Below are 26224 nucleotides of genomic sequence, written 5' to 3'. Positions count from 1 at the left end.
AAGGTCCTTAATAAATGAATGTATAGTGAATGCAGAAATAATATCTCAAAAATGCTTGCTCATAATTTTGAATATAAAACTTTACTTTTATCTAAATAACACAGATGATCAAAATGGATCTATCTTCCAGAAATCAGAATGAGTATGTATTAAACTGATGGAAAATGCTCACATTCATTTGTGTCTTAGTCCATTTGTACTGCTATAACAAAGTACTTGAGACTCGGTAATTGTAAACATAAATTTATGTTCTCAGAACTCTGGAGGCTGGAAAGGCTAAGATCAAGTTTTCAGCAGGTTCAGTTTTCTGGTTAGAGCTTCTTTCTGCTTCCAAAGAAGTCAGAAGAGCACGTAAACCTAACACTGTTATGCCACTTTTAAAAGGGCCTTAAATTCCACTGATGGGGTAGCAGGCCTAATTATATAATAAAGGTCCTACCTGTTAATATTATCAAATTGTCAACACCCAAATTTTGGAGAGGACACATTCGAACAATAAAATCCATCTTCTGGCTTCCCAAAAATTCACGTCCTTCTCACATGCAAAATACATTTATTCCATTTAACTAGCCCCAAAATTCTTAACTAATTTCAACACCAACTTTAAAGTCTAAGTCCAACGTCTTAGCTAAATATCATATGAGTTCCACTCAAGGTACAATTCATCCTGAGGAAAAATCTCCCCCCAACTGTGAGCCTGTAAAATCAAACAAGTTATGTCTTTCTAAAATACAGTGGCAGTGTAGGCCAAGAACAGACATTTCCATTCCAAAAGGGAGAAATAGGAAAGGAGAAAGGAGAAACAGGTCATAGGTTAGTCCAAAACACAAGGCAAAAATTATTACATCTTGAGGCTTGAATAATCTTCTTTGTTCCATGTCCCACCTTCCATACAAGTTGCAGTGGGGGCAGGGTCCTTAAGGCTCCAGGTAAACTCACCCCTTTGTTGGACGCAGCCCATGACACAGCTCTCACAAGTTGCAGTGAGATACCTGTGGCTCTCCCAAGCTGACATTGCATGTTGGTGGCTCTAGAGGTCTCGGGTCTCAGGAGTGGCCCTAATCCCACAGCTCCACTCTAAGTATTGCTCGAGAGAGCTTTCTGCAACAACTCTGATCTGGTGGCAGGTCTCTGCCCAGACCCCAAAACTGTCTAAGACATTATTTGACATTTAAGTGAACCATGCCATGCCTCCATAGCTCATGCACTCTGCATATTTGTAAAATTAGCACCACATGGAGTTAGCACTCCATTAGCACCAAATTACCACCAAGGCTCATTACTGTGCCTTCTGAAGTGCTAGCCTCAGCCATGCCTAGGCCCACTTGAACTACAACTGGGGCAAGGAGCACTAGGCTAGAATGCAGGAAACAAAGACCTAAGGCAACTTTGTGACCCGGAAGTAGGTCATCTTTGAATGATTTAGCACCAGCTTAAGCACAAACATGTACTGCATAATGTGTGACAGTGCTGTCCCCTTTTAAGATCAAAGAACCAGCAGGTTCTATTGTCTGGTGAAGGCTACTTTCCTCTTCTAAAGTAATATGGAAGAGTAAGCTAGACAAACACTGCATAAAGCCTCTTTTATAAGAGCCTTAATCCCATCCTCAAAGGAGCACCCCTCATGGCCTAATCACCTCTTAAAGACACAACCCGATAATAAATTCTGCAACTCCTGAATTTAGGAGGGGAAACATTTAAACCATAGAAATCTACATATCAGTATCTCTCCCTGTGATTATGCCAATATTTTTTTTTATCATATAAACCAATATGAGAAGAAACAGTAGACAGCCAAATAATAGTCAAGGGGCAGCTTGAGACTAGGATTTATTTGCTAAACATGGAAAGCCTACTTGAAACAAAAATAGGATATGCTGAATAGACAGTCTTAGACCAATCAAATTCAAGTATCCGGAAAAATTATAAAGTATTTCAAGGAGAAATACTGCTTACATTATTATGCAGTGATAAGACTTCTCACTGTAAAGTTTTGTTTATTCAAAGATTCTTACTTAGCACAGTTGTGGAGTTAATATATTTACCTAGCATCATCTCAAGAAAAGGGTGTCATGGAAAATATATTTTAAGAGCTATGTACCCATAGATCAGAAACATAAAAATCTACCATCTCAGTATAATATCAACAAACTTTCATTTAGTGACAAACATCATTAGAAAATGATTGCTTTCAGATAACATTGTTTTTCAGTGCTAAAATTATTTCAAATAAAAACTATGTTTGTAAATATTAACAGTAAATTAAACTTTAAGGTGATAAAATACAATATTTTGAGGACTTATTAATGAATATAGAGAGGTTATATCTATAAAGATTTTTAAATAAGTCATTCTGTAAGATTATTTTACAAATTAAAATTATTGCTATTCATAAAAGAAATATCTGCCTAGGCTTAGGCAAATGATGTTTTTCTTTTACTCATGCTAATGAACTGCACTATTTTGATTACTTGTCTTAGTGTCGGATAAGTCGATGCTATTAAAAAGTGTATGTTAGCTTTACAAAATGAACTTTTGTGTGGGGTTTGCTGAAGAGTTGTTAGTTCCTTTGTAAAGATACTGAGTATGTGTTGTCACATATAATAACTATCTACTCACTGGGTAAGTAGTTTTTCAGGTACCCTAAGAGCTTCCTTAGATATCTATAGAGAAATTTAAACAATCTCACTCTTCTGACACTTAGGAAGACTATAAATGTAAATAAAATGTACACATAACTAATTTTGCCATCATGTCATTTTTTTTTACTGTTTATTTAGAATTTTAGTAGCTGTAAGTAAGACCAACAAGAACATTGGAATTCATGAGTCCTAAGTTTTAAGCTCATCTTTATTTCAAAAGATACAGTTAAGATAGTTTTCTTATTCTAAAAATATATCACTCACTTTTGTAAACATGTCTTTATGTGTCTGTGGACTCTGGTTCCTTCTATAGTGTTTGGCTACTAGTATATATTTGATTTTTAGGAAAAGCCATGTAGAATTTTATTTGAAAGTATACATAATAAAATATATAAGTTAAGCTTGAATGATAGAAACTGGTATCTTCAACGATTACATTTTGATGTTTTACAATTTTAATCATAAAACTTTAAGAAAAAATGAGGAAATAAAGCAATAACAGTGTATTTGAATTGGTAGTATCGATATAGGTTAAACTTATATTTCTGTAACTAAAATGGACAGCTAATTGTTTACTCCTGTATGACATGTAAGAATTACTCAGTTAGAAAATAATTGTTCAAGAGTGACATCAGCAATATGACAGACTAGGAGTCTACTGTCATGTTTTCACAGAAACATCAATTTTGGCAATCACAGATTGATGAGAGTGCTTGTGTGGGAGTCTAGGGTAGAAGTTCTAGCACACCACTGGATAAAAATAATATTTCAATAATAGATGCACTGAAGAGGATAGAAAGAACACCTTTACTTTACCCACACCACCACTCTTCTGAGGTGGCTCAGCTAATTGCCAATGGAGATAAACTCAGCCCACAATTTCTCTCACAGAGAAAAGTGAAAAGTGGGGGGGCTAGACAGTGAGCATCTGGCTTCCAAGCCAGGTGGTATACTGCTCAAGAGGGCAAGCATTCTTACTTGCTTCACTCAGTACTGAGGTGATCAGCATGACTGAGTGGTTGGGAAAGGCTGGAAGCAGAAAAGGGAGGCAGAAACTCACAGCAACCAGGGCTTGGAATTTCAAAAACAGTCATAAATTCTACAAACTGCTTCATAGACTTAAACAGAAAGCCCACTTATGACCCTTACCTGGAGACCCCCCCAAGTGGTCCAAAGGCACCCCAAAGCTCCACTCACTTCACACTCTGCCCCTCAAACATGTGGCTTGCTCCCCATGTTCATTTCCACAGACAGTATATGTGAGCCTCCGAAAATGGCTTGTGAGCACTTGTACACAGCAAACTTGACACTGTGTGATTGGAAGAAGACACACAAACTTGAATATTTTAGGGGACCACTCTATGGAAAACCAATAAGAGACTCTCAGCATCTGTCCTGGCTTTGCAGAATAGGGAGAAGGTACACAATCTTAAGAATCCTTCCCCCACCACCAAGAATAAATAAGAGGTGTAGAACAGACATATTCACAGAAAAGGTGTGAGAAAACTTCAGAATCCCTGACAAGACTTACTGGTAAAGGCATTTTTTGTTTCTAAAGCCAGTCAGTAAAGAGGTGACTGCTTCTTCAAATGGGAAGATAGCAGTAGAAGATTTCAAGAAACAGGTAAAATCAAGGAAACATGACAACACCAAAGAAACACAATAAATGGCACTGGTGGTAAAGTGGTGAGCATAGCTGCCTTTCAAAGAACATAATAATCACCCAGTAACAAACTTCAAAGGAATTGAGATCTAGAATTTGATTGGTAAATAATTCAAAATAATAGTTTTAAGGAAGCTTAACCAGATACAGGAAAACCTGGATACAGAACTTGGCAAAATCAGGTTACTTGGGCCTGGGGTGTGAGAATAATGGGGAAACTTTGGCCAAAGTATACAAACTTTCAGTTGCAAGGTAAATAAATTTTAGAGACCAAATGTGCACCATATGATTATAGTTAATTAGTGTATTGCATACTTGAAATTTGCTAAGACTCGATCTCAATTGTTCTCGCCACACACACACAAAGTATAACTGTGAGCTGATGGATATATTAACTAGTTTGATTGTAACAATAATTTTACAATGTATATGTATACCAAAACATCATGTTATACATCTTAAATATATACAATCTTTATTTGTCAATCACACCTCAGTAAAGTTGGAGAGAAATACAGCTTAATAGGTCCTTTCTCTTGTGAAGTCACCTGGAAGCCCTCAATTAGTTATTCATTTCATCTGCTGTACTTACTTCCTTTCTTTACAATGCCTAGGACCTTGTGTATACTCAGAAAGTATGTGTTACATAAATCATATTAACCTGAAAAAGTTAACTAGAAAAAAAATTATCTTTATTATTTCACTATGTTTTATATTTGAGAAAAGACATGCTACTTAATTTCAGCTATTTAATTTAATGGCTCTGAATTTTTAAAGCACTGTAGATTAATTAAATAACATATAGAAGGTGCTCAATAAATAGTTGTCAATAATGTCTGGCTTTATTGTGAGCAATAATGCAGCCATAAATAATATTTGATAAAAACAAGATTATTTTATTAAAGATTTAAGATATTGAAAAATCTTATTTATTAGATATTGACTTTTTAATAAAAGTTAAATATATCTTAACAAATGGTATTTGCAGATATATTACACATATATTTATACATCTAGTTAAGTAAAAAGAAAAAATGTTTGCTATGTAGAAATATTAAAGCTGCCAATTTAACCCCACCCCAGCTAATGTGCATGTTCTCCTCTGCACTGCTATGCCTGCTGGCATGTATGAGCAAGCATTGATCCTGCTGCTACAGCCCTGAAAAAGTGCTTTGGCTGGAAACACCCAACACAGTGTGATAGCCAATGGAACAGGAACAATTTGGCCCCTCCAACCCAGTAAGTTCCTAAAACTGAGGGGCCAGAGAACAAAGTCACAGCCTGATACCATCATCCCAGATTTAAATCATGCAGAGCAGAAGTGATGAGCTGAGCCTTGACCCTCTAAAATCTTCCAGAAACAAACCCAGTCAACTGAACTCACTTTATACCACAATCAAACCCTCATGGGCTTCAAAAAAGATAAAAGCAAAAACAACAACAAAAACATCCAAACGACAGAAACTTGAAAGACTGAAGAAACACCATCCCACACAGATGAGAAAGACCAGCACAAGAACTCTGTAAACTAAAAAGGCCAGAGGGTCTTACAGCCTCCAAAAAACTGCAGTAGATCCCCAGCAATGGTTTTTAACCAGGCTGAAATTGCTGCAATTGCAGAAATAGAAATTAGAATGTGTATAGGAAAGAAGATCATCAACATCCAGGAGAAAGTTGAAACTCCAAGGAATTGAAGAAATATAATGAAATGATACAGGAACTGAAAGACAAAGCAGCCATTTTAAGAAAGAACCAAACTGATATGATAGAGCTGAAAATGCACTTCAAGGATTTCCTAGTATCATCATAAATATTAACAGCAGACTTCATGGAGCTGAGGAAAGAATCTCAGAGCTCAAAGACTGGTTCTCCAAAATAACTCAGTCAGATGAACCAATAAAAAAAAAACTAAAAAAGAATGGATAAAACCTGTGAGAAATATGAGATTATGTAAAGAGACCAAATCTACAACACATTGGCATCCTTAAAAGGGAGAGAGATAAAGCAGGCAAATTGAAAAACATATTTTAGAATATCATCTATAAAAATTTCCCCAACCTTATTAGAAGGGCCAACATTAAAATTCAGGAAATGCATAGAACTCTTGAAAGATATTATACAAGATGAGCATCCCCAAGACAAATAGATATCAGTTTCTCCAAGGTAGACATTTTTTACAAAATGATAAAGGCAGCTAGGCATAAGGGAAAGGTCACCTTCAAATGAAACCTAATAAGGCTAAAAGTGGACCTTTCAGTGTAAACTTTACAAGCCACAGAAGATTGTGGGCCTATATTCAGCATTCTTAAAAAAAAAAAAATTCAACCAAAAATTTTATTTCCAGCCCAAATAAACTTCATAAGCAAATAAAAAGTAAACTTCTTTCCAGAAAAGAAAATGCTAAGGTAATGTATCACCACCAGACGTGCCTTAAAGGAGGTCCTTAAGGGAGGACTAAATATGGAAAGGAAAGACTGTTACTAGCCACCACAAAAGCACACTTAAGTACATAGACCAGTGACACTATAAAGTGACCACACAATCAAATATGCATAATAACTGGCTAACAGCATGATAACAGTATCAGCTCCACACATATCAATATTAACTTTTACAACCAAAAACTAAATTGACTAAATGCTGCTTAAAAGGCACAGAGTGGCAAGTCACATAAAGAAGCAAGACCAAATCGTATGCTGTCTTCAAGAGACACACAACACAAACCATGGTATTTATAAGTTCCATGTAAAGGGGTGGAGAAAAATCTACAAAGTAAATAGAAAACAGAAAAAAGCAGGGGTTACTATAATTTTAGACAAAAGAGACTTTAGACCAACAATAAAAAAGACAAAGAAGATCATTAGATAATAGTAAAGGGTTGACATTAATGAGAAGATCTAAGTATCCTAAATATATATGCATCAAACACAGGAGTACCGAGATACATAAAGCAAGTTATTAGAGATGTACAAAGGAACTTAGATAATTGCACAATAAGAGTATAAAACTTCAACACCCCACTGACAGTGTTAGACATATCATCAAGGCAGAAAATTAACCAAGATATTTAGGGCCTGAACTCAACACATGACCAATTGGTCCTAACAGACATTTACAGAACTCACCAATCAAAAATTACAGAATATGCATTCTCATCTACACACGGTTCATACTCTAAAATCAACCACACTTTTGTCCATAAAACAATTCTCAGCAAATTGAAAAAAAAATCATACCCAGCACACTTTTGATGGAAATCAGTACAAAGAATATTTCTCAAAACCATACAATTAACAGGAAAATGTAACAACTTGCTCCTGAATGACTATTTGGTGAACAATGAAATTAATGTAGAAACAAAGAAATTATTTGAAACTAATAACCATAATACAGCATATCAGAGTCTCTGCAACACAGCTATAGAAGTATTAAGAGGGAAGTTTTAGTACTAAATGCCCACATAAAAAAAGTTAGAAAGATCTTAAATTTATAACTAAACATCACAATCACAGTTAGAGGAACTAGAGAAACCAGAGCAATTAAAACCCAACACTAGCAGAAAACAAGTAATAAGCAAAATCAGAGTCTAACTAAAGAAAACTGAGATAGGAAAAACTATACAAAAGATCAACAAATCTAAAACTTTTTTCTTTGAAAGAATAAATAAGACTGATAGACAACTAAGTAGACTAGAGAATACAATTCTAAGCAAAAAGAACAAAGATGGAGGTATCACATTACCCAAGAAGAAAAAAAGAGAAAAGTTTCAAATAAACACAATCAGAAATGTTAAAGAGGACATTACCATCAAACCCACAGAAATTAAAAAAAAAAAAACTTTCAGAGGCTACTAAAAATTACACTTCCCAATATTGAATCAGAGAGAAATTGAATCCCTAAACAGACTAATAAGGAGGTCCAAAATTGAATCGGTAATAAAAAGTCTACCAGCCAGAAAAAGCCCAGGGCCAGATACAGTGAATTTCTAGCAGATGTATAAAAAGAGCTGGTACCATTCCTACTAAAACTATTACAAATAATTGAGGTAAAGAGACTCCTCCTTAACTCATATAAGGCCAGCATTATCCAGATATCAAAACTTGGCAGAGAAACAACATAAAAATAAAACTTAAATATTCTTGAGAAACATAGATGCAAAAATACTCAACCCAATACTAGAAAACTGAATCCAGCAGCATATCAAAAATCTAATACACCACAATCAAGTAGGCTTTACCCCTGAGATGCAAATTTAGTTCAACATATGCAAGTCAATAAATGTGATTCATCACATAAACAGAACAAGTAAACCAAAAACACATGATCATTTTAATAGATGCAGTAAAGGTTTTCAATAAAATTCAACAGTACGTCATGTTAGAAACCCTCAACCAACTAACCATTGAAGGAACATACATTAAAATAATAAGAGCAATCTGTGACAAAATGACAGTCAACATCACACTGATAAGAAAAAAGCTGGAAGCATTCCCCTAGAGAACCAAAACAAGAGAAAGATGCCACTCTCACCACTTCTATTCTACATAGTACTAGAAGTCTTGGCCAGAGCAATCAGGCAAGATAAAGAAATAAAACACATCCAAATAGAAAGAGAGGAAGTCAAAATATCTCTGATTGTCAATGTTGTGATTCTATGCCAAAAACCCCATAGTCTCTGCTCAAAAGCTTCTAGATCTGATAAAGAACTTCAGCAGAATTTCAGGAAATAAAATCAATGTACAAAAATTAGTAGCATTTCTATTCATCAATGATGTTCAAGATGAGAGCAAATCAAGAACACAATCCCTTTCACCATAGCTACAAAAAGAATTAAACATGTATAAATGCAGCAAACCAGGGATGTAAAAGATCCCTACAAAGAGAATTGCAAAAAACTGTGCATAGAAATCAGAGATGACAAAAACAAATGGAAAAAATATTCTATGCTCATGAATAGCAATATTCAATATTATTAAATTGGCCATATTTCCTAAAGTAATCTACAGATTCAATGCTATTACTTTTTAAAATTTATTTATTATATTTTAAGTTCTGGGACACGTGCAGAACGTGCAGGTTTGTTACATAGGTATACATGTGCCATGGGGGTTTGCTGCACCCATCCACCCATCATCTAGGTTTTAAGCCCCATATGCCTTAGGTATTTGTCCTGATGCTCTCCCTCCCCTTGCCCCCCACCCACCAACAGGCCTCAGCGTGTGATGTTCCCCTCCCTATATCCATGTGTTCTCATTGTTCAGCTCCCACTTATGAGTGAGAACATGCAGTGTTTGTTTTTCTGAGTTCCTGTGTTAGTTTGCTGAGAATGATGGTTTCCAGATTCATCCATGTCCCTGCAAAGGACACGAACTTATTCTTTTTTATGGCTGCATAGTATTCCATGGTGTATATGTGCCATATTTTCTTTATCCAGTCTAACATTGATGGGCACTGAGTTGGTTCCAAGTCTTTGCTATTGTGAATAGTGCTGCAATATACATACATGTGCATGTGTCTTTATAGTAGAATGATTTATAATCCTTTGGATATATACCCAGTAATGGGATTGCCAGGTCAAATGGTATTTCTGGGTCTAGATCCTTGAGGAATCGCCACATTGTCTCCCACAATGGTTGACCCAATTTACACTCCCACCAACAGTGTAAAAGCATTCCTGTTTCTTCACATCCTCTACAGTATCTGTTGTTTCCTGACTTTTTAATAGTCATCATTCTAACTGGTGTGAGATTGTATCTCATTGTGGTTTTGATTTGCATTTCTCTAATGACCAGTAATGATGAGCTTTTTTCAACTGTTTGTTGGCTGCATAAACGTCTTATTTTGAGAAGTGTCTGTTCATATTCTTCACCCACTTTTTGATGTTTTTTTTTTTTTCTTGAATGGGATCTAATTAAACTAAAGAGCTTCTGCACAGCAAAAGAAACTATCATCAGAGTGAACAGGCAACCCACAGAATGGGTGAAAATTTTTGCAATCTATCCATCTGACAAAGGGCTAATATCCAGAATCTACAAGGAACTTAAACAAATTTACAAGAAAAAAACTCAATGCTATTTCTATTAAACTACCAATGACATTCTTTGCAGAATTAGAAAAAAACTAATTAAAAATTCATATTGAAACAGAAAACAGTCAGAATAGCCAAGGCAATCCTAAACAAAAAGAGCAAACCTGGAGGCATAACATTACCCAACTTCAAACTATACTACAAAGCTATGATAACCAAAACATTATGGTAGTGGTACAAAAACAGGCACATAGACCAATGCAACAGAAGAGAGAGCCCAGAAATAAGCCTACATGCCTGTGACCATCTGATCTTCAGCAAAGCTGACAAAAACAAGCAATGGGGAAAGGATTCCCTATTCAATAAATGGTGCTGGGATAACTGGTTAGCCGTAGGCAGAAGATTGAAACTGGACCCCTTCCTTATACCATATAAAAGTTAGCTAAAGAGAAATTAAAGACTTAAATGTAAAACCTAAAACTATAAAAAACTAGGAAGACAGAAAGATAATCTAGGAAATACCATTCTGTATATAGACCCTTGCAAAAAAAATTATGAAAATGCCAAAGGCAATTTTAACAAAAAGAAAAATTGACAAATGGGACCTAATTAAACCAAAGAACATCTGCACAGCAAAATAAATTATAAACAGAGTAAACATATAGCTTACAGAATGGGAGAAAATACTTGCAAACTGCATCTGACAAAGTTCTAACATCCAGAACATATATGGAACTTAAATTAAAAAGCAGAAAACACAAAACCCTATTAAAAAGTGGGCAAAGGACACAAACAGACTCTTCAAAACAAACCTACACGTGGGCAAGAAGCATATGAAGAAATGCTCAACATTACTAATCAATAGAGAAATACAAATCAAAATGACAGATATCATCTCACAGCAGTCAGAATGGCTATTATTAAAAAGTAACAGATTTTGGCAAGGTTGCAAGCAAAGGGGATGCTTATACACTGCTGGTGGGAATTTAAATTAGTTCAGTCATTGTTGAAAGCAGTATAGCAATTTTCAAAGAATTCAAACCAGAATTATTAGTAATCCCATTATTGCATATGTACTCAAAGGAATATAAATATTTCTACCACAATGACATATGCATGCATATGTTCATTACTGTATGATTTACAATAGCAAAGACATGGAATCAACCAAAATGCTCATTGGTGGTAGACTGGAAAATAAAATATCATACATATGCACCATGGAATACTATGCATCCATAAAAAGGAATGAGATAATGTCCTTTGCAGCAACATGAATGGAGCTGAAGGTCATTATTCTAAGCAAACGAATGCAGGAAAAAAAAAAGCAAATACTTCATGTTCTCACTTAGAAATGGAAGCTAAACCTCTATTTTTATTTTAAACCTTGACTATCAATGGAAAGGTGCCTAAGGTAATAAGTAGAGTAGACTACAGACAGATTCACTGCAAGTGATTTTTTGTTCATTTAATTGTATTTTTTAAAATTTTTCCATAAGTTATTGGGGTACAGGTGGTATTTGGTTACCCGAGTAAGTTCTTTACTGGTGATTTGTGAAATTTTGGTGCACTCATCACCTGAGCAGTATACACTGCACCATATATGCACTCTTTTATCCCTTGCCCCACTCCCACTCTTCCCCCAAGTCCGCAAAGTCCATTGTATCATTCTTATGCCCTTGCATTCTCATAGCTTAGCTCCCACATGTCAGTGAGAACATACAATGTATGGTTTTTCATTCCTGAGTCACTTCACTTAGAATAATAGTCTCCAATCTCATCCAGGTCACTGCAAATGTTGTTAATACATTCCTTTTTATGGATGAGTAGTATTCCATCATATATATATATGTATATGTGTATATATATATGTATATGTGTATATATATATGTGTGTGTGTATATATATATATATATGTATATATGCATATGCATGCCAGTTTCTTTATCCACTCGCTGATTGATGGGCATTTGGGTTGGGTCCCCGATTTTGCAATTGTGAATTGTGCTGCTATAAACATGTGTGTGCACTATCTTTTTCATATAATGACTTTTTTTCCTCTAGGTAGATACCCAGTAGTGGGTTCGCAGGATCAAATGGTAGTTCTACTTTTAGTTCTTTAAGGAATCTTCACACTGTTTTCCATAGTGTATACATTCCCACCAGCAGTGTAGAAGTGTTCACTGATCATCACATCCATGCCAACATCTACTGTTTTTTTTTTTTCCTTTATTTTTTGATTATGGCCATCCTTGCAGGAGTAAGGTGGTATCACATTGTGGTTTTGGTTTGCATTTCCCTGTTCATTAGTGATGCTGAGCATTTTTTCATATGTTTAATTAAGAACTTAAATCTAAGACCTGAAACTATAAAAATTCTAAAAGATAACATTGGAAAAACCCTTCTAGACATTGGCTTAGGAAAGAATTTCATGACCAAGAACCCCAAGAAAATGCAATAAAAACAAAGATAAATAGTTGGGACTTAATTAAACTAAAGTGCTTTTCCATAGCAAAAGGAACAGTCAGCAGAGTAAACAAACAACCCACAGAGTGGGAGAAAATCTTCACAATCTATACATCTGACAAAGGACTAATATTCAGAATCTACAATGAACTCAACAAATCAGTAAGAGAAAAACAATCAATCCCATCAAAAAGTGGGGTAAGGACATGAATAGACAATTCTAAAAAGAAGATATACAAATGACCATTTTAATTGTTTTTCTTTTTGCTTTCTTTTCAGATGGAAGATACTCAATATATCAGCAGAGAGAGCAGAGAGAAAGAAAAAAAATAACCTAAAAGAAAATAATAGTAGATGGAGCCATGCCCTAAACTTCTTTCCTCTCAGTAAACCATTTGCCCAACTTCCTAATGAGAATGAGACAAAAGGTCAGATTCTGAAAAGATAAAATATTAGGCTTAGTCTAGAGAAAGGTTATTTAGTCTCCTGAAATATTATAGGAAAATGTGAATGGATTCAAATAACAATATTTTATTGGTGACAGGACAGTATTTGGAATGAATTTTTACTATTTTCCATTACTGTCTATTTTTTCTATGACTTTGGAGACAATCTTGCTGAAAGAAATAATTTAACTTGAGGGGCAGCTTCTTGAGAGTATGATAGCTTTAAAAGAAAATTTGAGCTTAGAAAAAAGACTAGATAGGGACAACAAAGGACCAAAGACAAACTCATAATCAGGAAATATCAGCTACACACTAAGTATTACCATACTGAATATTGACATAAATAAATCAGTTCTCTAAATGTGTAACTTAGGAGTTCATAAATAGCATCAAAATTATAATACTAGTGTTTTTAAATCATGGAAAGCTTGAAAAAAGAGGGACTATATCATTACAGCTACAAATATATGGATGAAAATAGAAACCCTCATTTAGAAAATGTTACAAATTAAAAAAAAAGAACTTCATTCAAAATAGTCAGATTTTAATTGCTCTGTAGCCACAACTGCAGATGTTAGTGGAATGTGCTTGTTTTGTTTTGTTGTCAACGTTTTCACAACTGAAAGGATAAAACTGGGTCTTGGATCATTTCCTCTGGAAGAAACAAGCCCTCATGTCTTGAGGACACTAAAACTGCCTATGTAGAGGTCCATATGTAGACAAAGTGAGGACTCCTGTCAACACCCAGAGCCAAACTTGCCAGGCATGAGAGTGAGCCACCTGGAAATCTGTCTTTTAAACTGTCTCCTGAGACAGAATCAGGCAACCTACTTTGGCTTCACAGTTTCTCACTATTATATCACTTTCTTAGTGAGCCATTCTTGTACTGACCCAGAGAAATAAAGAGAAGTAAAGATATAAGGAAAGTTATTTGTTTTCATCACTATTAAGGAAACTTTTTTTTTCTTTTTATCTTTTGCTCTCCAAGAAATGAAAGATATTCAACACTAGCTCATGAAGGAGAAAGAAAACAAACTTGATATTCTACTTCTTTCAGTAGGGTTTTATGCTATGCATTCCCATGCTACCTTTTAAATCCGTTTTTCTTTGGCCTTAAAATCTTGGGATGTTCTTTTAGTCTTATAAATTTTGTGTTTAGAAACCTAAACCAAAGAAATCGAGAAAAATAAAATATTTCCTATTTTTGTTTAATCTCCCTTTGATAATCTATTGAATCATTTTCCTGAAAATTACATAAACTTAAGATGTCTTCTTATTGTATTTAATTTATTATAATTGGATCTCTTTTAATGCTGCATAAAGTAGATTAAATCTGGAAAATTTCTATAATTGGAAAATAAGGGGTATTAATTTGTAAAACTAATACACTGAAGAGAAAAATGACATACTGAAGAAACATAATAAAAATACCTATATACGAACAATATAAATCTGCTAGAAATGTATTATTTTATTTTATACTGAATATCAAGCAAAAGTTCTATTTGAATCAGCATTCTATATGTGAGTCACTTCAAACACACATATCTGATTTTCAGTATTTTTTTTTAACTTTAGTATCCTAAGACTCTGTTCATGGGCTAGTCCATTCTATCGCCATCTTTTAATCTACATTTCATAAAGAGGCAACAGTGAGTGATTGATAATTCAGCATCTCTTGCTAGGAATTCAGTATTTGCTCATACTTCAGACTTACAAAAATGATAATTCTGATTTTTGAATTCAGTCATTTGGAGCACAACCTGGCTCTGTTTATAAATCTCTTTCTAAAATGTGTTTGCTAGAATCTTTTTGCTTAGAAGAAATTCTCCAGTTGATTACAATAGTCTTATCTGCAGATTTTCACAATCATAAAGAATTTCCTAAAAGCTGTACTTCAGTATGTCTTTGAAAAAGACTATAAAGCTTCATAATAAAGCTATCATACTCTCAAGCTTATTATTATTTATTATTGCTGCACACTTTAGAGTTGTATTTAGAAAGCCATATTGAGATTAACTGTAGACACTATAGAAAGAAATATCAATGTAATTTTATAAACCAGGTGATTGCATTTATTTTCTTTTTAACTTCGTGGTTATGACTATCTCTATCCAAATGAGACAAAAACAACATATTGGCAAAAATATTTTTGCTTAGGTAACCTATATTGTAAAATAAAAAGTGCTTTTTGTGGTTAATCCACACAATGGAATATGGTCGGTGTACCAGTGAAAATGAATGACTACTGAAACATGCAATAACATGAATAAATCTCAAAAGTATTATGCAAAGTTTAAGAAGCTAGTCACAAAAGGCTACATACTGTAAAATTACACTTGAAAGTAATCCTTGAAAGGGAAGAAGTATGATGATAAAATCCACATCAGTGGTTGACAAAACAGAGGAGATTGATTTCAAAGGAGCACAAGTTTCTTCTCATAGAGATCTTTAACCTCCTTGGGTAGATGTATTCCCAGGTATTTTATTTTTTGTGTTGTTCCTGTAAATGTGATTGCATTCTTGATTTGGCACACAACTTTAACTTTATTGATGTATAGAAATGCTACTGATATTTGTACATTGATTTTGTATCCTGAAACTTTGCTAAAATTGTTTATCTGTTCTAATAGCCTTTTTTGTAGAGTCTTTAGGTTTTTCTAGGTATGGAATCATGTTGTCAACAAAGAGAGATAATAAGACTTCTTATTTTGCAATGCAGATGCCTTTTATTTCTTTCTCTTACCTGATGGCGTTGGCTAAGACTTCTAGAACTATGTTGAATAAGAGTGGTAAAAGTGGGCATCCTTGTCTTGTTCCAGTTCTCAAGGGAAATGCTTCCGGTTTTTGCCCATTCAGTGTGATGTTGACGGTGGGTTTGTCACAGATTTTTTTTTATTATTTTGAGTTATGTTTCCTAAATGCCTAGTTTATTGAGGGTTTTATTACGAAGTGATATTGGATTTACCAAAAGCTTTTTTTGAATCTATTGAGATGATTATATGATCTTTGTTTTAAATTGTGTTTATGTGATAAATCACGTTTATTGGTTTGCATATGTTGAAACAACCTTTTATCCCAGGAATGAAGCCTATTTGACCATGGTGAATTAACTTTTTGATGTGCTGTTGAATCCAGTTTGTTATTATGTTGGTGCAAAAGTCATTGGCTTTTTTTGCCACTAAAGGTAAAGTAATGGCAAGAAACCAAATTACTTTTGCAACAACCTGACAGTATTTTGTTGAGTATTTTTGCATATGTGTTTATCAAGGATATTGGCCTGTAGTTTTCCTTATTTGTTGTGTTTTTGCCAGGTTTTCATATCAGGGTAATACTGGCTTCATGGAATAAGTAAGGGAATTTCAGAAGACACAAACAAATAGAAATACATTTCATACTCATGGATTAAAAGAATCAATATCATCAAAATGGCCACACTCCTCAAAGCAATTTTTATATTCAATGCTATTTCTATCAAACTACCAATGCCAATTTTCACAGAATTGGTAACACTATTCTAAAAATAATATGGAAACAAAAAAATAAGCCTGAATAGGCAAAGCAATCCTAAGCAAAAGCAACAAACAAAAAGTCCAAAGCTGGAGGCATCACATTATGGGACTTCAAACTACACTACGAGGCTTCAGTAACCAAAACAGCACGGTACTGGTACAAAACAAGATTTGTAGACAAATGTAACAAAATAGAGAACCAAGAAATAAAAGCTTCACAGCCACTACTATCTATTCTTTGACAAAGCTGAAAAAAAATAAGCACTGTGGAAAGGACTTCCTATTCAATAAATTATGCTGGCATAGTTAGCTATCCATAAACAGAAGAATAAAACGGTACACCTACCTTTCACGATATGCAAAAATTGTCTCAAGATGGATTAAAGTTTTAAATGTAAAGGATATCAAACTATAAAAATGCACAAAGAAAACTGCAGAAACACCACTCTGGACATCAGCGTTGATAAAATGATTCATGACTAAGTCTTGAGAAACAACTGCAACAAAACAAAAAATGGAAAAGTGGGACCTAACTAAGCTAAAGAACTTCTGCACAGCAGCAGAAACCCCCAACAGGGTAAACAGGTAAGCTGCAGAATGGGAGAAGATATTCACAAATTACAGATAGACAAACGTCTAATATCCAGAATGAATAAGGAATTTAAACAATTGAACAAGTAAAAAAACAAATAACTCCATTAAAAGTGGGCAAAAAAATGAACAGACACTTTTCAAAATAAGACATACAAGTGGTTAACAAACATTTGAAAAATGCTCAATATCACTATTCTTAGAGAAATGCAAATCAAAACTGCAATGAGATACCATCTCAAACCAGTCAGAATGGCTACTATTAAAAAATCAAAAAAAAAAAGAGCAGATACTGGCAAGTCCATGGAGAAAAAAGAATGCTTATACACTGTTGGTGGGAATGTTAATTAGTTCAGCTTCTGTGGAAAGCACTCTGGAGATTTCTCAAATACTTTAAAACAGAGCTATCATTCAACACAGCAATCCTATTACTGGGTCTATAACCAAACAAATATAGATCATTATACCAAAAAGGCACATGCATGTGTATGTTCCTCATGGCACTATTCACAAAAGCAAAGATATGAAATCAACCTAGGTGCCCATCAATAGTGGATTAGATAAAAAATATATAGTATATGTATACCACAGAATACTATGCAGTCATAAAAAATATTCTTTGCAGCAACATAGATGCAGCTGGAGGACATATCTTAAGCAAATCCATCTGAGAACAGAAAACCAAATACTGCATGTTCTCTCTTATAAGTGGTAGCTAAACATTGGGCACTCGAGGACATAAAGATGGCAACAATAGACACTGGAGACTGTTAGAGGGGGAAGCTAGGGAGGGACACAAGAGTTGGAAAACTAGCTGTCACGTATTATGCTGAGTACCTTGGTGACAGGATAATTCATACCCCAAACATCAGCCTCACGTAGTATACCCAAGTAACAATCCTCCACATGTACCCACTGAATCTAAGATAAGTTGAATAAACCCCACAACATTTTGTATGTGCTGTCACTACTCCACACAGAAGGAATTAATTTACTCCTGTGCAACAATACTGGGAGAGGACTTTTGGAAGCTTATACCTGATTTCCTCAAGATTTTGCCACATGCACCTTTTTTCATTGTTAATTTTGCCTTCCATCCTTTCACTGTAATAAATAATAGCCATGAGTATTTTTTAAAAATGAGCACAAGAGAACTTTCAGGGTTAATAGAAATGCTCTATATATTATTACTGTGGTGGTAATTATGTGGTCATTTGTCTAAGTTCATTGAATTATTCACCCAAAATTGAATTTATATGTAAATTATACCTCAATAAAACTAATATTTTAAATATGTGTCTTTGGACAAATATCTTAGTCTCTATCAATAGATTGCACAAAAAAGGAACTAAAATTTAAAAGAGACTTTAGAGATATATCAACCATTTGCAATATATGAAGGTATTTTGGAGACAGATTCAACAAAACCAATAAACTGAGAAAAATTATGATATTTATGAGGCAATTGAATAATTTACACTGACTGCATATTTTATAATATGAAGTAATTGATAATTTTATTTTTAAAGCATTAAAATAGTACCACAATTATTTTAAATAATAAAGAGTCCTCATCTTTGAGAGGTATTTACTGACATATTTGCAATTCCTGGAAATTGCTTCAAAATAATATAGGAAGTAGTAGAGTAATAGATTAGATTCAATGCTATTCCTATCAAAGTACCAACAGCATTCTTCACAGAAGTAGAAAAAAGTCTATTTCAAAATCCATATGGATAAAAAAAGAGCCTGCATAGCCAAGAAAATTCTAAGTAAAAAGAACAAAGCTGGAGGCATCACATTGCCCAACTTCAAACTATAATATAAGGCTACAGTAACCAAAACACCATGTTACTGGTACAAATACAGGCACATAGACCAATGGAACAGTATAGAGAGCCCAGAAATAAGGCCACACACCTACAACTACCTGATCTTTGGCAAAATAGACAAAACAAGCAATGGAAAAAAGACCCCCTATTCAATAAATGGTTCTGGGATAACTGGCTAGCCATACGTGGAAGCTTGAAGCTGGACCCCTTCCTTACACCATATACAAAAGCAACTCAAGATGGATTAAAGACTTAAATGTAAAACCCAAAACTACAAAAACCCTGGAAGACAACCTAGAAAATACCATCCTGGACATAGGAATGAACAAAGATTTCATGACAAAGACATCAAAAGCAATCACAACAAAAGCAAAACTTGACATGTCGGATTTAATTAAACTTAAGAGCTTCTGCACAGCAAAAGAAACTATCAGCAGAGTAAACAGACAACCTACAGAATAGGAGAAGATATTTTTCAAACTATGCATCTGACAAAGGTCTAATATCCAGCATCTATAAGGAACTTAAACAGATCTACAAGAGAAAAACAACCCCATTAAAAAGTGGGCAAACTACATAAACAGACACATTTCAAAAGAAGGCATACATGTAGCCAACAAGCAGATGAAAAAAGCTCAGTATCACTGATCATTAGAGAAATGCAAATCAAAAACACAATGAGATACCATCTCAAAGCAGTCAGAATGGCTATTATTAAAAAGTCAAATAGGCTGGGTGCCCCGGTGGCTCAAGCCTGTAATCCCAGCACTTTGGGAGGCCGAGGTGGGCAGATCACAAGGTCAGGAGATCGAGACCATCCTGGCTAACACGGTGAAACCCTGTCTTTACTAAAAATACAAAAAAAAAAAAAAAAAAATTAGCAGGGCGTGGTGGCGGGTGCCTGTAGTCCCAGCTACTTCGGAGGCTGAGGCAGGAGAACGGTGTGAATCTGGGAGGTGGAGCTTGCAGTGAGCTGAGATTGCACCACTGCACTGCAGCCTGGGCAACAGAGTGAGACTCCATCTCAAAAAAAAAAAAAAAAGTCAAATAATAACATATGCTGGCAAGGTTGTAGAGAAAAGGGAACACTTATACCCTGTTGGTTGGCGTGTAAATTAGTTCAACCATAGTGGAAAGAAGTAGGGCCATTCCTCAAAGAGCTAAAAGCAGAACTACCACTGGACACATCAATCCCATTACTGAGTATATACCCAGAGGAATATAAATTATTCTACCATAAAGACACATACACACAAGTTTTCATTGCAGCACTATTTGCAATAGCAAAGACAGGGATCAACCTAAATACCCCTCAATGACAAATTGGATAAAGAAAAATGTGGTACATATACATCATGGAATACTATGCAGCCATAAAAAAACGAAGATCATGTCTTTTGTAGGAACATGGATGGAGCCGGAGGCTGTTGCCCTTAACAAGCTAACACAGGAACAGAAAACCAAATACCACGTGTTCTCACATATAAGTGGAAGCTAAATATTAACAACTTATGAACACAAAGAAGGAAACAACAGGCACTGGGGTCTGCATGTGGTGGGAGGGTGGAAGGAGAGAGAGGAATAGAAAAGATAACTATTGGGTACTGGGCTTAATACCTGGGTGATGAAATAATATGTACAACAAATATCTGTGACATGTGTTTACCTATGTAACAAAATTTCACATGTATCTCTAAACCTAAAATAAATTAAAAAAAATTAGTCATGACTTGAAAATTGTTGATGCAGATGGTGGGCATATTAGGTTTCATTAGATTATTTTGTGTACTTAGGTATATGTTTAAAAGTTTTGTATAATAAAAAACATTTAAAATTGGCTGGAGGGAAAACTTTTCCCTCTTTTTCACATTCCACCAATTACAAAAAAAGCCAAGTTTTAGAACAAAGCAGAATTAGTATATTGAATGTTTATTTTTTAAAGCAACTGTTGGAAGTGACAGCACTTATTTAGATGCCTCCCTTTAATATGATTGTGTTTCATTAATGAATTATGAAAAACAGAGTTTATATAGACACTTTTATTAATTTATTATTTATAAAATAATTTTATATATGCTTTTATGGTAACCATCATTATACTCTCTATCTCCATGAGTTCAACTGTTTTAACTTTTACCTCCCACAAATGAGTGAGAATATGTGAAGTTTGCCTCTTTGTGCCTGGCTTCCTTTGCTTAACATAATGTCTTCCAGTTCCATCCACGTTGTTGCTAATGACAGGATTTCTTCTGTGTATGAAGCCAAATTATATTCTTATGTGTAAATGTGTTCATATATATGTGATTCATGTATATGTGATATATATGTAATACACACATATATATGCATATATATATCACAGTTTTTAAATTCATTTATGCATCAATAAATGTTTAGGTAGATTACATATCTTGGCTCTTGAGAATAATGCTGCAATAAACATGAAAGTGCAAATATCTCCTAGGTATAGTAATTTTATATCCTTTAAGTATATGTCCAGTATTGGAGTGGATGGAACATATAGTAGTTATCTTTTTAATTTCTTGAGAAATCTCCAACTGTTTTCTATAATGGCTGTGCCAATTTACATTTCCACCAACAGTACACAAGGATTCCCTTTTTTCCACGTTTGAACCAATACTTGTTTACTTTTTAAATAATAGTCATCCTAAAATATGTAATGTGATATCCTACTGAGATTTTAGTTTACATTTTTCTGATAATTAATGATATTCATCATCTTTTTATATACCTATTGGCCATTTATATGTTTTAGTTGAAGAAATGTCCATTCAGGTGCTTTGCCCACTTTTTTTGACTTTTATTTTAAGTTGAGGGGTACAAGCGTAGGTTTGTTACACAAGTAAACTTGTGTCATAGGTGTTTGTTATACAGATTATTTCATCTCCCAGCTATTAAGCCTAGTACCCATTAGTTATTTTTTTCTTTGCCCAAATTAATGTGTTAATTCACTTTGTTTGATATTCAGTTTTATGGTTTTCTTGTATATATTTGACATTAACTTTTTATTAGATGTATCATTTGCAAGTATTTTCTCCTATTCTTTAAAGTGCCTTTTGATTTTGTTCATTGTTTGCTTTAGTGTGCTAGATCATTTTAGTTGATACAATCCTCCTTGTTTATTTTTTGCTTTTTTTGCCTGAGCTTGTGGTGCCATCTTCAAAAAACAATTGTCAAGACCAATTTCAAGTTTTTTTTTCCTGTTTTTTATTTTATTTTTTGGTAGGTGTTTTATGGTTTCAGTTCTTACCACTAAGTCTTCAATTCAAGTGAAGTTGATTTTTCTGTGTGGTGAAAAATGGTGCAATTTTATTTTTTTAAAAAATATTTTTATTTTAAGTTCTGGGGTACATGTGCAGGATGTGCAGGTTTGTTACATATGTAAACGTGTGATATGGTGGTTTGCTGGTCTAATTTTACTCTATTGCATGTAAATAATATTGCATCTTTTCCAGCAGCATGTATTGAAGACACTGTTCTTTCTGCACTGTATATTTGTGGCGTACTTTATGGAAATTAATTGATGTTATGTAGGGGTTTATTACTGGGCTTTTTATTCTATTTCATCAGTCTATGTGTCTGTTTTTATGCCAGTACCACATGTTTTGGTTACTAAAGCTTTATAACATAATTTGAAATCCGAAAGGGTGATACTTCTTGTTTTGTTTTGCTTTGTTTTGTTTTCAAAATTCATTAGCTGTTTCGGTTCTTTAGTGGTTCCACAAGGATTTTATAATTGCTTTTTCTATTTCTGTAAAGAACGTCATAGTAATTTTGATAGGGATTTCATCGAATCAGATTACTTGGAGTAGTAATAGTAAAGCATAATGAAAGATGTTCATTTGCCTTGCAGATAGGCTGCCAAGAAAAAGAAAGAGAAGATAGTACACAAATTGTTTGGAAAGCTAAGTATTTTCTCTTAAAGAGAAAAGGTTCTTGCAGTCAGACGTGGTGGCTCACGCCTGTAATCCCAGCACTTTGGGAGGCCGAGGCAGGTGGATCACAAGGTCAGGAGATTGAGACCATCCTGGCTAACACAGTGAAACCCCCTCTCTACTAAAAATACAAAAAAAAAAAAAAAATAGCCGGACATGGTGGTGGATGCGCGTAGTCCCAGCTGCTTGGGAGGCTGAGGCAGGAGAATGGCATGAGCCCGGGAGGCGGAGCTTGCAGTGAGCCAAGATGGTCTCGATCTCCTGACCTCGTGATCCACCTGCCTCGGCCTCCCAAAGTGCTGGGATGACATGCAGAGCCAATAAAAGCCCCTTTGGAAAACTGGCCTCATACCTTGTCTAAACAGTTGCTGTACAGGTTTCCTAACCTGTGGTGAATAAAGAATGTTACTTTCTAAGAGGCCCAGGAACGCCATGTTCTTGGATCCTTAAGAAGAAGTTTACCCAACTCATAGGTATTTGATGGCTGGGCTCAGCTGTAATAAGTCCTGTCTGATATCCCTTGTGAAACAGAGTTCCATCAGAGCCACTTTAAAAAGCGTATGTAAAATTAATTATTTTTGCTGCACTTTATGCAATAATCAGGCCAAGTATAAGAATAAATTTTATTTTGCAAACTACTAATTCTTGTCATGATTTGCTTTTAAGAAAAATGAGGATGGGAGTGAGAGAAATTTTGTTTCTAAATTTATCACACATTTGTCATTAAATTCTAGACTCAATAGTCATTTGTAAGTTTTTTGCCCACATTTATTTCAGGCTTTTTTTTTATTATTATACTTTAAGATCTGGGATACATGTGCAGAACATGCAGGTTTGTTACATAGGTATACACATGCCATGGTGGTTTGCTGCACCCATCAACACGTCATATACATTAGATCTTTCTCCTAATTCTATCCCTCCCCTTGCCCCCAACCCCTGACAGGCCCGGTGTGTGATGTTTCCCTCCCTGTGCCCATATGTCCTCATTGTTCAACTCACACTTACGAGTGAGAACATGAAATGTTTGGTTTTCTGTTCCTTTGTTAGTTTGCTGAGAATGATGATTTCCAGCTTCATCCATGTCCCTGCAAAGGACATAAACTCATTCTTTTTTATGAATGCATAATATTCTATGGTGTACATGTGCCACATTTTCTTTATCCAGTCTAACATTGATGGGCATTTGGGTTGGTTCCAAGCCTTTGCTATTGTGAATAGTGCTGCAATAAACATACGTGTGCATGTGTCTTTATAGTAAAGGATTTATAATACTTTAGTATATACTCAGTAATGGGATTGCTGGGAGGAATGATATTTCCAGTTCTAGATCCCTGAGGAATCATCATACTGATTTCCACAATGGTTGAACTAATTTACAATTCCACCAACAGTGTAAAAGCATTCCTGTTTCTCCACATCTTCTCCAGCATCTGTGGTTTCCTGACATTTTAATGATGGCCATTCTAACTGGTGTGAGATGGTATCTCATTGTGGTTTTGATTTGCATTTCTCTAATGACCAGTGATGGTTAGCTTTTTTTCATATGTTTGTTGGCCACATAAATGTCTTCTTTTGAAAAGTGTTTGTTCACATCCTTTGTCCACTTTTTGATGCGGTTGTTTTTTTCTTGTAAATTTGTTTAAGTTTCTTGTAGATTCTGGATATTAGCCCTTTGTCAGATGGATAGATTGCAAAAATATTCTCCCATTCTGTAGGTTGCCTGTTCACTCTGATGATAGTTTCTTTTGCTGTGCAGAGGCTCTTTAGTTTAATTAGATCCCATTTGTCAATGCTGGCTTTTGTTGCAATTGCTTTTGGTGTTTTAGTCAGGAAGTCTTTGCCCATGCCTAAGTTTTGAATGGTATTGCCTAGGTTTTTTTCTAGGGTTTTCATGGTTTTAGGTCTTAACGTTTAAATCTTCTATCCATCTTGAGTTAATTTTTGTATAAGGTGTAAGGAAGTGGTCCAGTTTCAGTTTTATGCATATGGCTAGCCAGTTTTCCCAATACCATTTATTAAATATGGAATCCTTTTCTCATTGCTTGTTTTTGTCAGGTTTGTCAAAGATAAGATGGTTATAGATGTGTGGTGTCACACATCTGAGGCCTCTGTTCTGTTCCATTGGTCTATATATCTGTTTTGGTACCAGTACCATGCTGTTTTGGTTATTGTAGCCTTGTAGTATAGTTTAAAGTCAGGTAGAGTGATGCCTCCAGGTTTGCTCTTTTTGCTTAGGATTGTCTTGGCTATACGGGTTCTTTTTTTGATTCCATATGAAATTTAAAGTAGTTTTTTTCTAATTCTGTGATGAAAGTCAATGGTAGCTTGATGGGAATAGCATTGAATCTATAAATTACTTTTGGCAGTATGGTCATTTTCACAATATTGATTCTTCCTATCCATGAGCATAAAATGTTTTTCCATCTGCTTGTGTCCTCCTTTATTTCCTTGAGCAATGGTTTGTAGTTCTCCTTGAAGAGAAGCTTCACATCCCTTGTAAGTTGTATTCCTAGGTATTTTATTATCTTTGTAGCAATTGAGAATGAGAGTTTGCTCATGATTTGGCTCTCTGTTTTTCTGTTATTGATATATAGAAATGCTTGTGATTTTTGCACATTGATTTTGTATCCTGAGACTTTGCTGAAGTTGCTTATCCGCTTATGAATTTGTGGGGGTGAGACAATGGGGTTTTTAAACTATACAATCATGTCATCTGCAAACAGAGATACTTTGACTTCCTCTCTTCCTATCTGAATGTCCTTTATTTCTTTCTCTTGCCTGATTGCTCTAGCTAGAACGTCCAATACTATGTTGAGTAGGAGTGGTGAGAGAGGGCACCCTTGTCTTGCACCTATTTTCAAAGGGAATGCTTCCATCTTTTGTCCATTCATTATGATATTGGCTATGGGTTTGTCATAAATAGCTCTTATTGTTTTGAGATATATTCCATCAATACCTAGTTTATTGAGTGTTTTTACCATGAAGGGGTGTTGAATTTTATCAAAGGCCTTTTCTGCATCTATTGAGATAATCATGTGGTTTTTGTCATTGGATCTGTTTATGTGATGGATTATGTTTATTGAT

General features: G+C 34.7%; 1 annotated feature.

Annotated features, from left to right (window-relative positions):
• Nucleotides 987-1488: an enhancer, noted in NCBI's record as "NANOG hESC enhancer chrX:88083247-88083748 (GRCh37/hg19 assembly coordinates)". NCBI's record gives its function as "activates a minimal SCP1, AML or CMV promoter by ChIP-STARR-seq in primed H9 embryonic stem cells {active_cell/tissue: H9 hESC(primed)}" and the evidence as "EXISTENCE:reporter gene assay evidence [ECO:0000049][PMID:30033119]".

Source organism: Homo sapiens, chromosome X (genome assembly GCF_000001405.40).
Source record: "Homo sapiens chromosome X, GRCh38.p14 Primary Assembly".
In the NCBI taxonomy this organism is placed as follows: Eukaryota; Metazoa; Chordata; class Mammalia; order Primates; family Hominidae; genus Homo; species Homo sapiens.
The sequence above is the reverse complement of the archived record's forward strand: the minus strand, read 5'-3'. Positions and strand labels throughout refer to the sequence as shown.